At 44.4% G+C, this 14670-nt stretch overlaps 1 protein-coding gene across 2 annotated transcripts in view, besides 1 other annotated feature; it reads left to right on the forward strand.

Moving 5' to 3' along the window:
• The window catches only part of B3GNT2 (UDP-GlcNAc:betaGal beta-1,3-N-acetylglucosaminyltransferase 2), a 28617-nt gene extending 23913 nt beyond the window's left edge, over window positions 1-4704 (forward strand). For both annotated transcript variants that reach the window (NM_006577.6, NM_001319075.2), the window contains exon 2: window positions 2185-4704. In NM_006577.6, the coding sequence (NP_006568.2) occupies window positions 2194-3387 (1194 nt within the window). In that variant the 5' untranslated portion in view covers window positions 2185-2193 and the 3' untranslated portion in view covers window positions 3388-4704. The remainder of the gene's footprint in view (window positions 1-2184) is intronic.
• Window positions 13838-13957: a silencer, noted in NCBI's record as "silent region_11536". NCBI's record gives its function as "represses an Ori minimal core promoter by ATAC-STARR-seq in GM12878 lymphoblastoid cells {active_cell/tissue: GM12878}" and the evidence as "EXISTENCE:reporter gene assay evidence [ECO:0000049][PMID:35858748]".

Genomic DNA, 14670 nt, shown 5'->3' on the forward strand with positions numbered 1-14670 from the left:
CCTCTGGCCACATGACTTCTGAGCAATACGGGATTATAAAAACTGTGCTTACATTTTAGCAGAATTCAGGCCCCTCTCAATCCTAATCTTGTGACCTTTCATTAGCCTCAGCCCCCTGAACAAGGAAGGGATCAGTTTTATGGAGGGACTGTTACCATCTTTGCTTCGAAGTTAAACTGTAAACTAAATTTCTCCCGTGGTTAGCTTGGCCTATGCCCAGGAATGAGTGGAGACAGCTAGCCTGTGAGGGTAGACGCAAGATGGAGTCAGCCATGCTAGATTTCTTACTGTCCATAATCTTTGCAAAGGTGGTTTCAGCAGTAGTAAATACAAGCAACCAGATAAAGGTCTACTAGGCAGATCTTTACAGACACACAATAGCTTGTGAATTCCTGTTGATCTCATCTGGGCTCTCTAATATGTAATAGTTTTACAGCATTCTCAGCATGACAAATATTTTTCTACTTTACCGTTTGTTAGAATCCAGTGAACTTAAAAATCCTCTCCTTTCAAAAAGCAAATACTAGATTAAAATAGTTGCAAAGCTTTCTTTTAGGGATTGGAGAAGTGTAGCTACCTTTTGGCATGGTACAGACTTGGAATCTGTTTGCCTTGGCTGGTATTCCAGTCTGCCCTTCTTTAAATGTGTACCTCCTCAGGTATAAAATGGGAATGAGTAATAGTACCTAAGGATAAATTCCCAGTTGAATTAACCTGATAAGAAAATCTTCAGCTCTTTATAGAACATTGCCATCCCACTTTTTTGGGCTATCTTTTAATGTCACCTTGGTTTAAATGTTCATTCTTGTATAGGTCATCCATGTCAATAGTGTTAGAACCTTGGATATCCCCAGCAAACCATCTCATTACTCATTCTTTATTCTTCCATTGCCCACAGCCTGAAATCTTTTGATATTTCACTAAAATATCATTTGTATTTCCCTTTTTGCTACAAACAATAGAGATCTTAAATATACACTTCAGGTTTGACATATGCATACATCCGTGGAGCCTTCATCAGGATCAAGACCTACATGGTACATTTCTGTACCCCAGGAAGTTCCTTCCTATCCTTCTCTAAGCCCACCACCTCCATCACTTTCAGATTTCTAGAACCTAAATTCATTTTGCCTGTTCTTGAAGTTAATATAAATGAAAATTTGGGTCTGGCCTTCATTCACAATGTAATGTTGTAATGTTTCATCCACAATAGTTTCCCTTTCTATTGCCGAGGGGATATACCATTGTATGCAGATGCCACAGTTTGATCATCTGTTCTGTTGATATTGGGCTGTTGCCAGTTCTTGGCTATTGGGATAAAGCTGTCCTGAGTCTGCTTTCATTTTCTCTGTCTGAGATGCTCTGTGGTTCCTGTCTCCTGCTTCCTAGCCCTGCAACCTTGGGCAAGTGTCTTAATCTCTCTGCTTTGGTTTCCTTATCTGTAAAATGGTAGGTTGGAAAATAACTCAGGGTTGGGACTAACATTAAAAAAAAGAGAGAGAGATAGGGTCAGACATGCCTATAATCCCAGCACTTTGGGAGGCTGAGGTGGGAGGATCACCTTAGGTTGGGAGTTTGAGCCCAGCCTGAGCAACGTAACCAGTCCCTGTTTCTACATTTTAAAATCTCAAAGTTTTTCAAATGAAATAGAAGAGAACTTGAGAGTGAATGACATGGAACTGCACACAATGCGTCACACATGTAAATAGAGTTTTGTGTATGTATGTGTATACTAAACACAGTATAAAAATGTATTTGTTATAATTTAGGCAAATCGGTTTGCCAAGCACTGTATGTGCCATTGTAAGCAAGGAAGTTGAACTCTCCTGAGGTTATTTAGTAATAGGTATTTCTAGCTTCAGCATGTCTCAAACAGTCACTTACATAGTGCTTGCTGTGAGCCACGCGCTATTTTAAAAGCTTTCCATATAACATCATATACTCACAACCATCCTTTGAAGTGGGCTTGATTCCCATTTTATATATGGAGAAGTTGAGACAGGGACTATCCCACTTGCCCATGATCACAAAGCTAGAAAGGAAGGGCCAAGATTTGAACCTAGGCAGTGCAAGTGTAGAGTCTTTGCTGTAAACCACTATTCCTGGGGAGACAGGTAAAATAAATTGTATGTGCAAATGCAAATTGATAAGTAATTGATACAATACTCCACCCCTTTATTCCAGATATGAGAAATGAGTGTTGGACGTCGAAGAATAAAGTTGTTGGGTATCCTGATGATGGCAAATGTCTTCATTTATTTTATTATGGAAGTCTCCAAAAGCAGTAGCCAAGAAAAAAATGGAAAAGGGGAAGTAATAATACCCAAAGAGAAGTTCTGGAAGATATCTACCCCTCCCGAGGCATACTGGAACCGAGAGCAAGAGAAGCTGAACCGGCAGTACAACCCCATCCTGAGCATGCTGACCAACCAGACGGGGGAGGCGGGCAGGCTCTCCAATATAAGCCATCTGAACTACTGCGAACCTGACCTGAGGGTCACGTCGGTGGTTACGGGTTTTAACAACTTGCCGGACAGATTTAAAGACTTTCTGCTGTATTTGAGATGCCGCAATTATTCACTGCTTATAGATCAGCCGGATAAGTGTGCAAAGAAACCTTTCTTGTTGCTGGCGATTAAGTCCCTCACTCCACATTTTGCCAGAAGGCAAGCAATCCGGGAATCCTGGGGCCAAGAAAGCAACGCAGGGAACCAAACGGTGGTGCGAGTCTTCCTGCTGGGCCAGACACCCCCAGAGGACAACCACCCCGACCTTTCAGATATGCTGAAATTTGAGAGTGAGAAGCACCAAGACATTCTTATGTGGAACTACAGAGACACTTTCTTCAACTTGTCTCTGAAGGAAGTGCTGTTTCTCAGGTGGGTAAGTACTTCCTGCCCAGACACTGAGTTTGTTTTCAAGGGCGATGACGATGTTTTTGTGAACACCCATCACATCCTGAATTACTTGAATAGTTTATCCAAGACCAAAGCCAAAGATCTCTTCATAGGTGATGTGATCCACAATGCTGGACCTCATCGGGATAAGAAGCTGAAGTACTACATCCCAGAAGTTGTTTACTCTGGCCTCTACCCACCCTATGCAGGGGGAGGGGGGTTCCTCTACTCCGGCCACCTGGCCCTGAGGCTGTACCATATCACTGACCAGGTCCATCTCTACCCCATTGATGACGTTTATACTGGAATGTGCCTTCAGAAACTCGGCCTCGTTCCAGAGAAACACAAAGGCTTCAGGACATTTGATATCGAGGAGAAAAACAAAAATAACATCTGCTCCTATGTAGATCTGATGTTAGTACATAGTAGAAAACCTCAAGAGATGATTGATATTTGGTCTCAGTTGCAGAGTGCTCATTTAAAATGCTAAAATAGATACAAACTCAATTTTGCATAGAAAGGTGTATTTTGAATAGTTCCCATGTTGTGTTCTCACATTAGAGTAATTTCTATATTAAACCATGAAAATTGCCTTTATGAGTGATACCCATTTGAGGGCCTCTAAACCCTTCAATTTGGTACTCACGTGAAGAGGGAAAGCGGAAGATGGTAATTTTTTTTTATGGATGATATGGCAGGATGATTGGTTCTGATCTTACCGGCTAGTGGTCATTTTTAAAAAACTTGTACCCTCTTATCTGAAATCCTGTTTCTGGAATTTGGCCATTTTAAGTGATTTTGTTTGCCCTCTTCTATAATATTCCTACTTCCCATAATAATGACTGATTTATTTGTAATTCAGGTATTTATAAACCTATTGGCTACAAAGACTTTGTTAAACATTATCCAGTGGTTTTCGTGAAATGGAATTATGTTTATTTTTATGGGATTTGGGTAAATTTTAAATTGTCTAGAAAACTGAAATTTCAGTTGTCAGTTGTGGAATTCAGTTTTTCAATTGTGGAAATTTCCTGCCACCCCAACAGTATTTTTGTGTGTTAATTAATTTTGCAAAATGAGAATCATGGTGTGACACTCATCTAATTTATCTTGTTGTGATGTTATGGTCATAATAAGGAGAAAGAGGGTTTAATTTTTCTTGTATTTGGTTTCCTGGTGGTATCATAGTGTAATTTTAGTATTTGAAAATCAGTGTGATTCCTTAATGGCCAACTGAAGATTGAATTGCCGCTAACAACCATATCGTGTTAGTGAATTTTCAATATGGACCAGGAAGGCATATGTATTTTGAACTTGAGTGAAAAGGTTGAAGTTACAGACTTTTGCATAGATGGTTTGTCAATTTAAAATTCCAGAATTTATTATTGCCATATTTTCACATGCTGCTTATACAAGATTATTATTGAGTAGTAACTGCTTCCCTGTCTATGTAGAAGTGCCTGTGTTTTTATTTATTGTTCAGATCAAAGACCAAAACATTTTCTTAAATATATTTTATGTAATATTTTATTTGTATACAGTGTTGTTGATGAAATATTTAACTAGAGCATGATATTTTAAATGTTAAGGTGTAACATATGTTAAATAAAACTGTTATTTTTGAATTTTAAAATTTGTTTTTTGGGGGTATGAACTACTAGAGTTTAAAATTCTGCCAAACTATTACTTATATGTACTATTGTGTAACATACTTTCTTGAAATATTTTTGTTTATAGAATTGAAGGTTCTTATCAGATGGGATACTGGGGACTATAAACAATGGAAATAAAGCCACTGTATTTTTAATTTTTTGTGTAATGTGTAATCTATAATCCTTTTGTTTCCCATATTTGAGAACATTTTTCCCTGAAAGAGGCCAGTTTCCTCCCCAGAAACCATTACAGTAGTGTTGAACTATCACTGTCTCTCAGTGCGTCATCCATCTTTGCATTTAAAATCCCCAAAGTGCTTTCCCATTTAAAGTCTTTAAAGAAAAGTGAGAATATTTATTTATGCTTCCATTTTCAGTGAGTATAAATAATTTAATTAGGGAGTGGTGTGGCATTGTAAAGATTGTGTTATCCTAAGCCATTTCTATTTTGGAGTTTGTAGCCACAAAGATGAAATATAGAATCAGCCTTGACTACTCAATTTCCTTTCATAGACCCATGTTGAGAAGACACTACTAACGTCCAGTGGGAAACAAGTAGACAATTGATGAAGCTCAAAAAACAGAAGGGTTAGTGTTGTAAGAGCAAACAGTCTAATCCTGTTTGGAATGTGGAAGCCATTTCTGAGCAAGTATGAGGACACAGGTGCTTGATTTGAGATTGAAGACTGTTTTCAGCCTGGTCTTCCTGAAGGTTTCCTGGGGCCTGCATCTGCCTTCTACTCCCATGGCTGCTAGCACACACCTCCCAGAGGGCCATATTGCCACATTATGGCTAGAGAAGAGTAAAGAAGAAAAGAAGCTCTGAGAACATTCACAGGTAATTGGATCACATTTGCATTTGTCCAAAAAACCTGACCACGCATTCTCAGGTAATAGGTTTCTCCTCTCAGAGGAATTTCAATTTTTTTTCTTGTTAGAGATTCCCCTTCTCTGAGGTTTCAAGTCTCTTGTAGAGAAAGAAGAGATGGAGCAGGTTTTGAATGAGGTGTGGAGGGCCACTGGGGGGCCTTTTGTGAGCCTTCAGTCCACATGTGTGCTGTTGTTTGAACATGAGTTCTTGGTGCTGATGACATTTGGATGAGATGATCTCTGGCCCTTCTTCATTTGGCAGAAGTTCTTGTGCAATGGCTGCCCAAGCCCACCACACTGGTCATTGCTGCCCTGTGAGATGGACCTCATGGGCTTTTTAGCAGAGCACGTTAGGTTTTAGAGCTTTACGCATGCTTGGGCTCTGTTATGGCGCAAACCCTTAAATCCAGGAAGGCCTCTCTTGGTGCCCACAATATGGGTTCTCACCTGATCCCCCATCTCACGGATGGAACTGCTGTAAGTCTAACTTATTCTTTGAGAACTGTTTAACAATTAGGCCTCAAGGGAAACTGGTATTTTGGGCCCTTTTCTTGGCTATTCCCAAGTCATGTTGATTTTGAGTTTGAAGGTCAAAAAGGCTGAAAGCATTGCCAGGGTTTGGACTATTCAAAAACCCAAGCAGGTCTTAAAAAAAGGATGCAAGAGACAAGAATGGCTCATTCCCCTTCCTGATCCTGGTTATACCCATGTCCTTTCTTGAGATGGTCAAGAGAGGCTGGAAAGAAGAACAGGAAATTGGGGGAGTGCTTTGTTACACTTGGAAATTGAGTCAAGAATTAAAGACACCCAAAGTGGGCCATCTCCTACTTGTCCACACCTGATTGGTGGTGATGCGGAATATTTGATGTCCCGGGTCATCTTGACTTTCTCAGATGCAAAAAGGGAGGGTGACTTTACTAATGGAAAGGATGGGAAGCTGAAATGAATGAAGCCTTCAGTTGGGCCAAAGTTTAACTTCCCCGTGATTTGCCTTCTGATGAAAAATGCCAGATGAAGTGAAAATTCTTGTTTCTTGCCTAGAACAGGAAAATACATACTTTACATGCTGGGCTATTGAGGCTATGAAATTAGGTTTTCCTTAATGTAAATCCAATTGCTAGAAACATTTGCCAAATAAGATTTTTTGAACTGAACTTTGTTTGCATTAATCTGAAAAACTGAAGTATTCTGACTCATGAAGTTCTCAAAGTAATACACTAAAAAAGTTTTGCCCTTAATACCATTATATCTTGTAGAGGCCAAGAATGAGGGACTTCTGTCTTTAAAGAGCCCTAAAAATCTCGTTTGCTCACATGATATGAATTACCGTATTTGTTGTAAATGCGCAACTTTGTATACACTAAAAGCACTGCCAATATGATTTTTTATCAGTTGTGCCTCAGTTAGAGATATTAAAATGTGACATCTTAAATATTACATATTAGAATAATTGAAATACAGCATGAGTCTTTATATATTTTTTTAAACCCTTAAATTGAAAGATGGAGTCCTAGGCCGGGTGCGGTGGCTTACGCCTGTAATCCCAGCACTTTGGGAGGCCGAGGCAGGCGGATCATGAGGTCAGGAGTTCGAGACCAGCCTGGCCAACATGGTGAAACTGCATCTCTACTAAAATTACAAAAAATTAGCCGGGCGTGGTGGCGGCACCTGTAATTCCAGCTACTCGGGAGGCTGAGGCAGGAGAATGGTTTGAACCCAGGAGGCGGAGGTTGCAGTGAGCTGAGATCACACCACTGCACTCCAGCCTGGGCGACAGAGCGAGACTCCATCTCAAAAAAGAAAAAAAAAAGAGTCCTGTTCAGGTGCATTTCCTGCTTCTGTCACTTTGACCTGTGTTTATGAATTCTCATCCCAACCAACCCTGGTGGCTTTTGAGCTTTGTCAGTTGCTTTCTTCTTGGCTGTTGTGCATGGTGAAAGGGGATGTGTTAACTGCACTGAAGCAGCGAGAGTAGTTTTAATTTGATTGTAATCCAAGGGCTTATTTCTAAGTCAGGGGCCTGGCAGTTGAACAAAGTGTTTGCAGCTTCCTGACAGCTGACCCACACGGGATTGGAGGGTGGGCCTTTGATGCTCCTCAAGCAATAAGCCACATGGAGAACTTGCATCGTAAGTGTTAGCAAGGGCTCACCTCACTGCCTTGGAAACCTACCATCCTGTGACTCGCCCTTTCCCAGCCTGTCTTCAACTCACATCCTCTCTTCCTGCTCATCACCCCAGGCCTTCCTGAAGTTGGCTTTCCTAGCTATTCTACTGGGCACCAACTTCCACCACCTCTTTAAAAAGTATCTCAAGTACAAAATAAACATTATCCTATCCTTGGTTTGGGTTTTTCCAGAAAACAGACTTTAAGACAGGGATTCTAGCTCAGGTAGGCTTTGGTGGAAGTGCAGGCACAAAGTTCAGCAGGAAGTGGCCCTTGGAAGGCAGCAGATGAGGAGTGTGAAGCCACTGCCACTGTGGGATTGGAGCTCAACCCCACAGGGAATCTGGAAAACAGTGCAGAATGCATGCCTCAGAACGCACCTGTCTGAGGCTTGAAGGAGCTGAACTTTTTTTTTTTTTTTTGAGATGGAGTCTAGCTCTGTTGCCCAGGATGAAGTGGGCGCAATTAGTGGCGTGATCTTGGCTCACTGCAACCTCCATCTCCCAGGATGAAGCAATTCCCCGCCTCAGCCTCCCGAATAGCTGGGATTACAGGCGCCCATCACTGTGCCCAGCTAGTTTTTGTATTTTCAATAGAGACAGGGTTTTGCCATGTTGGCCAGGCTGGTCTTGAACTCCTGACCTCAGGTGATCCACCCACCTCGGCCTCAGCAAAGTGCTGGGATTACAGGCGTGAGTCACCGCGCCCGGCCTGAACTACTTTTTATTTCTATTTTTTAAGACGGAGTCTCTCTCTGTTGCCCAGGCTAGAGTGTAATGGTGCAATCCCAGCTCACTGCAACCTCTGCCTCCTGGGTTTAAGCAATTCTCCTGGCTCAGCCTCCCAAGTAGCTGAGATTACAGGCATGTGCCACCCGTCCAGCTAATTTTTGTATTTTTAGTAGAGATGGAGTTTCACCATGTTGGTCAGGCTGGTCTTGAACTCCTGCCCTCTAGTCATCTGCCCGCCTTGGCCTCCCAAAGTGCTAGGATTACAGGCAAGAGCCACCATGTCTGGCCTTAGTAGATTGTAGAATTCTGCCGGAACCATCACTCCACTACAAAGCCAATTTGGTTTTAAGTCATGATGATTCTACCCGCCCTCTAGAAATTTTTTATTTTGGCCCTCTTTTTTTCTTTAAAAAATTTCTGAAACAGTTTGTTCTCTGATTGCTCCTCTTTCCATAGGAGCCTGTTCTTCATGGATGTAAGGACTGTGTATAAGAAAATGAATTAGAGTTTTTTTTTTTTTTTTTTACAATTCTTATCTCAGGGATTAGGTGAGTTGTTCACCCTAATTCTTATGGAGAAGAACAAATACTAAGTGATGCTTGGTCCTTTAATGCAGGACTGAACTGATTTGTAGAAGTTCCTAGGAGGTGTTTCTTTTTCTGGGCTGTTTACCCACAAGGCCACTTCCTACACTGGAAGGCTGGGTGAGGGTCACTGTATGGACGTATGTCCTGGCTTCCTTTCAGGGACTGAGCAGGTTGGGGGCAGGTAGACTTGACCCCAGATCTTGGAGCTGCCTTTCTTCCCTTTGCTCTGGGTCTGTTTCGCGGTATTCTACTCAGCTGCTTCAACCTGAACCCTCTACCTCCCCTTCAGTTTAGGGAGCATTCCTTAGCAGGTAAGCATCTGAGCTCACGTGCACTTAACCTGTGTGTTTGCGTGTGCGCATGTGCGTGTGCATTTGAGTCTTGAAGAGTTGGTGAAGCCAGCCCCCCAGTTAGTCACCCCTTCTGCCTCCTCCAAGCTGGGAGCCTTTCCAGAGAAGTCTTCCTGTAACCCACATCCCGTGCAGCCTTCTCCCCATCGTGTGCTGGGCTGTGGTTTCCTCTTCCAGTTTGTCCATTAATACAGTGCCGGATGTTTCCCGTCTTTCACAAAATGAATTATTTCTCTTGGTGGTATTGTCTTCACTGCCAGTGCGGCCTTGGGCTTCTTCATTATATCTTTTGTTATTTAGATAGGGAAGGAGGCAAACACTTCTGACCATCCACTATTCTGACCTGGGAGCCCCCAGCATTTTAAGTGTATTAATTTAATTTTTTGAGATGGTCTCACTCTGTTGCCCAGGCTGGTGTGCAGTGGTGTGATCTAGGCTTACTGCAATGTCTGCCTCCTGGGTTCAAGTGATCCTCGTGCCTCAGCCTCCCAAGTAGCTGGGACCACAGGTGTGTGCCACCACACCTGGCTAATTTTTTTTTTTTTTTTTTTTGTATTTTTAGTAGAGATGGGGTTTTGCTATGTTGGCCAGGCTGGTCTCGAACTCCTGGCCTCCAGTGATTCACTTGCCTTGGCTTTCCAAAGTGCTGGGATTACAGATGTGAGCCACTGTGCCCGGCCTATTTATAATTTTTTTTTTTTTTTTTTTTTTTTTTTTTTTTTTGAGACGGAGTGTCGCTCTGTCGCCCAGGTCGGACTGCGGACTGCAGTGGCGCAATCTCGGCTCACTGCAAGCTCCGCTTCCCGGGTTCACGCCATTCTCCTGCCTCAGCCTCCCGAGTGGCTGGGACTACAGGCGCCCGCCACCGCGCCCGGCTAATTTTTTGTATTTTTAGTAGAGACGGGGTTTCACCTTGTTAGCCAGGATGGTCTCGATCTCCTGACCTCATGATCCACCCGCCTCGGCCTCCCAAAGTGCTGGGATTACAGGCGTGAGCCACCGCGCCCGGCCTATAATTTTTAAAGACAGGGTCTCTGTCCCCCAGGCTGGAGTGCAGTGATGCAATCATAGCTCACTGCAGCCTCAACCTCCTGAGCTCAAGTGACCCTCCCGTCTCAGTCTCCTGAGTAGCTGGGACTCCAGGTGTGCGCCCCCATGCTTGGCTCCCCAGCATTTTTTCTTGTCTTTCCTGACCTGAGGCCTTCACCACATTGACCTCCACACCTGGAAATTCTCCTTCCTGCCGTGGTTACGGCATCTGTTGCCCGGGTTCTTGAATCTCTGCCTGAAAGCTTTCTTTGGCTGCTAAGTGCTGGGCCTGATCCTCCCACACTGCACCCACAGCCTCTTCCTGGGTCTCTTCCTTGGCCTCCCTGCGCAGTCCTCAGAGTTATCTCTGTGGGCGCCCTCCCCGAAATATTTCCACCTCTCGTTCCTTTCTGAGTCAAGCCCACTCTTGAGTCCACCTCCGTGAAGGGGCTGTTGGCCCTTCATACCAGGAGAACCCTTCTAGGTTTACTCCTAGCCCACCCATTCCCAGCGTCAGCGCCCTCGCCCTTCTCTTTCACTGGAGTCCAATCAACCCTCCATTTCAAACAGTTCTGTCTCTCCAGCCCTCAGTCTCTCCCTGAATGTGCAAGTCAGCCTGTCCTTGAAGCCAGCACGACTCTCGGGGTCCCCTTTGCCCATCTGTGTACACTTCTCAGCTTCAAACCCAGCAAGTCTCCTGCCCCATCCCCTTCCTGGGGAAATGGGTCTCTTTCGGAGGCCCCAGGCCTGAGGGAGGTCCATTTTGTAGAAATGGAAGGGGTTCCATTTTATGGTTTCTAAGGTGTATTTTCCACAAATTTAAAAGGATTGTCAGCTGGATTTGGTGGCTTATGCCTGTGATCCCGGCACTTCGGGAGGCTGAGGCAGGAGGATTGCTTTAAGGCCAGGAGTTTGAGGCCAGTCTTGGTGACTTAGTGACAACGTGCCTCTATTGCAAAAAAAAAAAAGTAAAAGGACTGTCCCTTGGCTCCTGATCCTTTTAAGTGCTCTTAGCTCTGGGGCAGGCCCTCAGTTCCCTTCCAGGTTGCTCTGGGTTGCCCAGGAATGTGACGGAGGTGAGAATGCCCCTCATATCAAGGCAAGAACGTGAATATCTAAGGTCGGCACCTCCATCGTCATTAGGATCAGAGTGCATTCTACTTTGCTTGTCCTAGTGGATATCTGCCCTGTGCTCAGAGTCAGCTCCCCCACATTCCCCCACTCAAATGTAGGAGCTTCCCCTCCTCTGACTGCCTTTGGGTGAGGCCCCTGCCCCTTGTCTACCGGAACTGGGTGGAAAGGACCTGAGACAGAGCTGTCTCCCTCTGCCTTATCCTCCTCCTCTGCCCCTTCTGTAGAGCTCAGTAGTGGGAAAGTGGCCTTGGGAAGGGGCCTCTGGGGCTCGTCCACAGACACCTGACCATGCCCAGGCGGCATCCCTTCAGCTGTCAGAATTCCTGGGGTGGGTGGGTAGGAAGCAGCCAGGCCCTTCCAGCCTCAGTCTGGCTCTATCCAAGACCTCCCTGGACACTAGAGAAAGCCCCAGCTCTCACCTCCTTTTGACTCACGACCCTCTGGGGCTCTTCCTCCTCTCATTCAAGGGTTCAAGGCAACTGGGGTTTGCCTTTTCTACTTTTCCTACTCTTTCTACCTTTTCTACTTTTCCAATCTCACTGCAAAATGTGGCATAGTAATGAGCTGTTAACTCATCACTGGATAATTTATTTATAGTCTGGCGTGGAGAGAGGGGAGTGAAAATGTAGACTTTTGTTGACACAACATGAAGACTGCAGTGGGAAAGGCTTGCAGGAAACCGAACTGGGCGGAGATTCGGCAATCAGGCAACAGGTGCCAAGGCGCTGCGCAGGGACCTGGCCGGGTCCTGCCTTGTCGTTTCAGCTATTGGAACCTTTGAGGACAGACCTACCTGCTTCCGAGCTGCAGTCAACCAGGAGGCCAGAGCTGTGGCTACCTTGGCAGCAGCTGTGAAGCTGCTGTTTTTCTGGCTGGGGAGGTGGGAGAACCCAGGGAAAACCTCAGAAAAATAAAGAAAATCTGAATATGGACAAGCTCAGATGTCTTAAATAGCAACAATATCACATTAATCTTTCCTCTTGTGGGATATGAGAAATGAGTGGTAGACACTGAAGATAAAGTTGTTGGGCTTAAAGTTGGTGGGAAATGCCTTTATTTATTTAATTGCAAAAGTCTCTAAAAGTGAGTCGCCACGGAAGGAATGAAGAAGGAGGGGTTGTGATGGACTGTCAAGAAAGCTGGGGAACTTTCCCACTCACTGTCTTGAAGAACAAGACAAAGAGAAGATGCAAAACCACCCCACTGAGGCTGGTGCTGGAGGCCTGGGGAGAGCATTTCATTGTTGGGGGTGGCCTGTCTCACTGGTCCCTCCTCCAGAAGTTGGAGAGATGCTACCTAGCTGAGTGTTGAGCACTTGTCCCTGCAACTGAGTACCTGCTCGACAAATAGGGGCTGCCATGGCAATAAAAAACCCAGCTGTGGCAGATGTTTATTATTGCAGACAATTAGAAATATTCTCTGCATTATCCCAGGTCTTGGCATAGTTCATTGTTGGTAGACCAACCCAATAAATTACTTTTCTGAGATAACATTGATGTGTTGGGTGAACCTTTCACTTAGAAAGCTATTTTATTTTATTTTAATTTTTGAAACAGAGTCTTACTCTGCCATCCCAGCTGGGGGAGTACAGTGGCACGATCTCGGCTCACTGCAACCTCTGCCTACCAGGTTCAAGCGATTCTGCTGCCTCAGCTTCCCAAGTAGCTGGGATTACAGGCGCCCGCCACCACGCCCAGCTAATTTTTTGTATTGTTAGTAGAGACAGGGTTTCTCCATATTGGCCAGGCTGGTCTTGAACTCCTGACCTCAAGTGATCTGCCTGCCTCGGCCTCCCAAAGTGTTGGGATTACAGGCGTGAGCCACCGTGCCCAGCCTCACTTAGAAAGCTTTAAATTGAAAAGTAAACATTTTCAGTTTTGAATTAATTTTGACTTACTGAGAAGTTATAAAAATAGTATGCAGAAGCCAGCCGCGGTGGCTCACGCCTATAATCCCAGCACTTTGGGAGGCTGAGGTGGGCGAATCATGAGTTCAGGGGTTGAAGACCATCCTGGCCAACATGGTGAAACCCTGTGTCTACTAAAAATACAAATATTAGCCGGGCATGGTGGCGGGTGCCTGTAATCCCAGCTACCCGGGAGGCTGAGGCAGGAGAATCGCTCGAACCTGGGAGGTGGAGGTTGCAGTGAGCTGAGATCGTGCCATTGCACTCCAGCCTGGGGGACAAGAGCGAGACGAAGTCTCAAAAAAAAAAAATAGTATGCAGAGAACCCATATGCCTCTACCCACGTATTCCCAATGTTAACATCTTACATAATCGTATCATAATTATCAAAATCAACATTGGACCAACTAAGAACAGCAATGAAATTAACATTGCTATTATTCTATTAACTGCACTGCAAACCTGACTTGAATTTTACCAATGTTTTTCACTAATGTCCATTTTCTTTTTTGTTCTTTTTTTAATTTGACACAGGGCCTCACTCTGTCACCCAGGGTGAGTGCAGTGGTGTGATCATGGCTCACTGCACCCTTGACTTCCTGGGCTTGTGTGATCCTACAGGTGTATACCACCACGCCCAGCAAAGATGTCCACTTTCTGTTCCCAGATGCTATTTAAGGCCCCACATGGCATTTGGTTATTTTTCCTTGGTTTTCTCCCATCTGTTTCTCAATCTTTCCTTGTCTTTCATGACTTTAACACTTCTGATGAGTACTGGTTATTTGTAGAATGTCCTTCCATTTGGGCTTGTATGGTGTTTTGCGTGATTAGAATGAGGTTATATATTTTTGGCAAGAATACCACAGACGTGATGTTTTGTCCATCTCGAGGCCTCACATTGGGAGCTCTTGATGTCACTGTGTCCTATTCCTGGTTATATTAACCTTGTGCACTGGGTTCCTCCACAGTAAGGTATTGTCTTTCTCTTTGTAGTTAAAAAGTATCTTGGGGGATATTAATATATGTAAAATGTGCAAATAATTCAGTGAGTCAATGCATGTAAGGTGCTTGGAGCCTGGCATGTAGTAAGTGCTCGATGAATGAGTAGCTGCTGCTTTTGTTGTCATTATTAGTGCTGCTTCTGTGCCAGTTCTCTTCCAGCCTCCCTCCTCTGCTGTTCAGTCCTTTGACTCTCTGTTCATTGTCCTCTGCCTCTTGGGCTGATCCTCCTCCGGCTGGTTGCTTCCTTACATGAGGATTGACTGTCTTGCTCAAAATGTCTGTGTCCTTAAGCAGGGCCAAGAAGAGCTCCGTTCTTCTCATCAGCGTATGGGGTTGGGTGGAGGAG

The sequence above is a fragment of the Homo sapiens genome, chromosome 2 (assembly GCF_000001405.40).
Source record: "Homo sapiens chromosome 2, GRCh38.p14 Primary Assembly".
NCBI classification, from domain to species: Eukaryota; Metazoa; Chordata; class Mammalia; order Primates; family Hominidae; genus Homo; species Homo sapiens.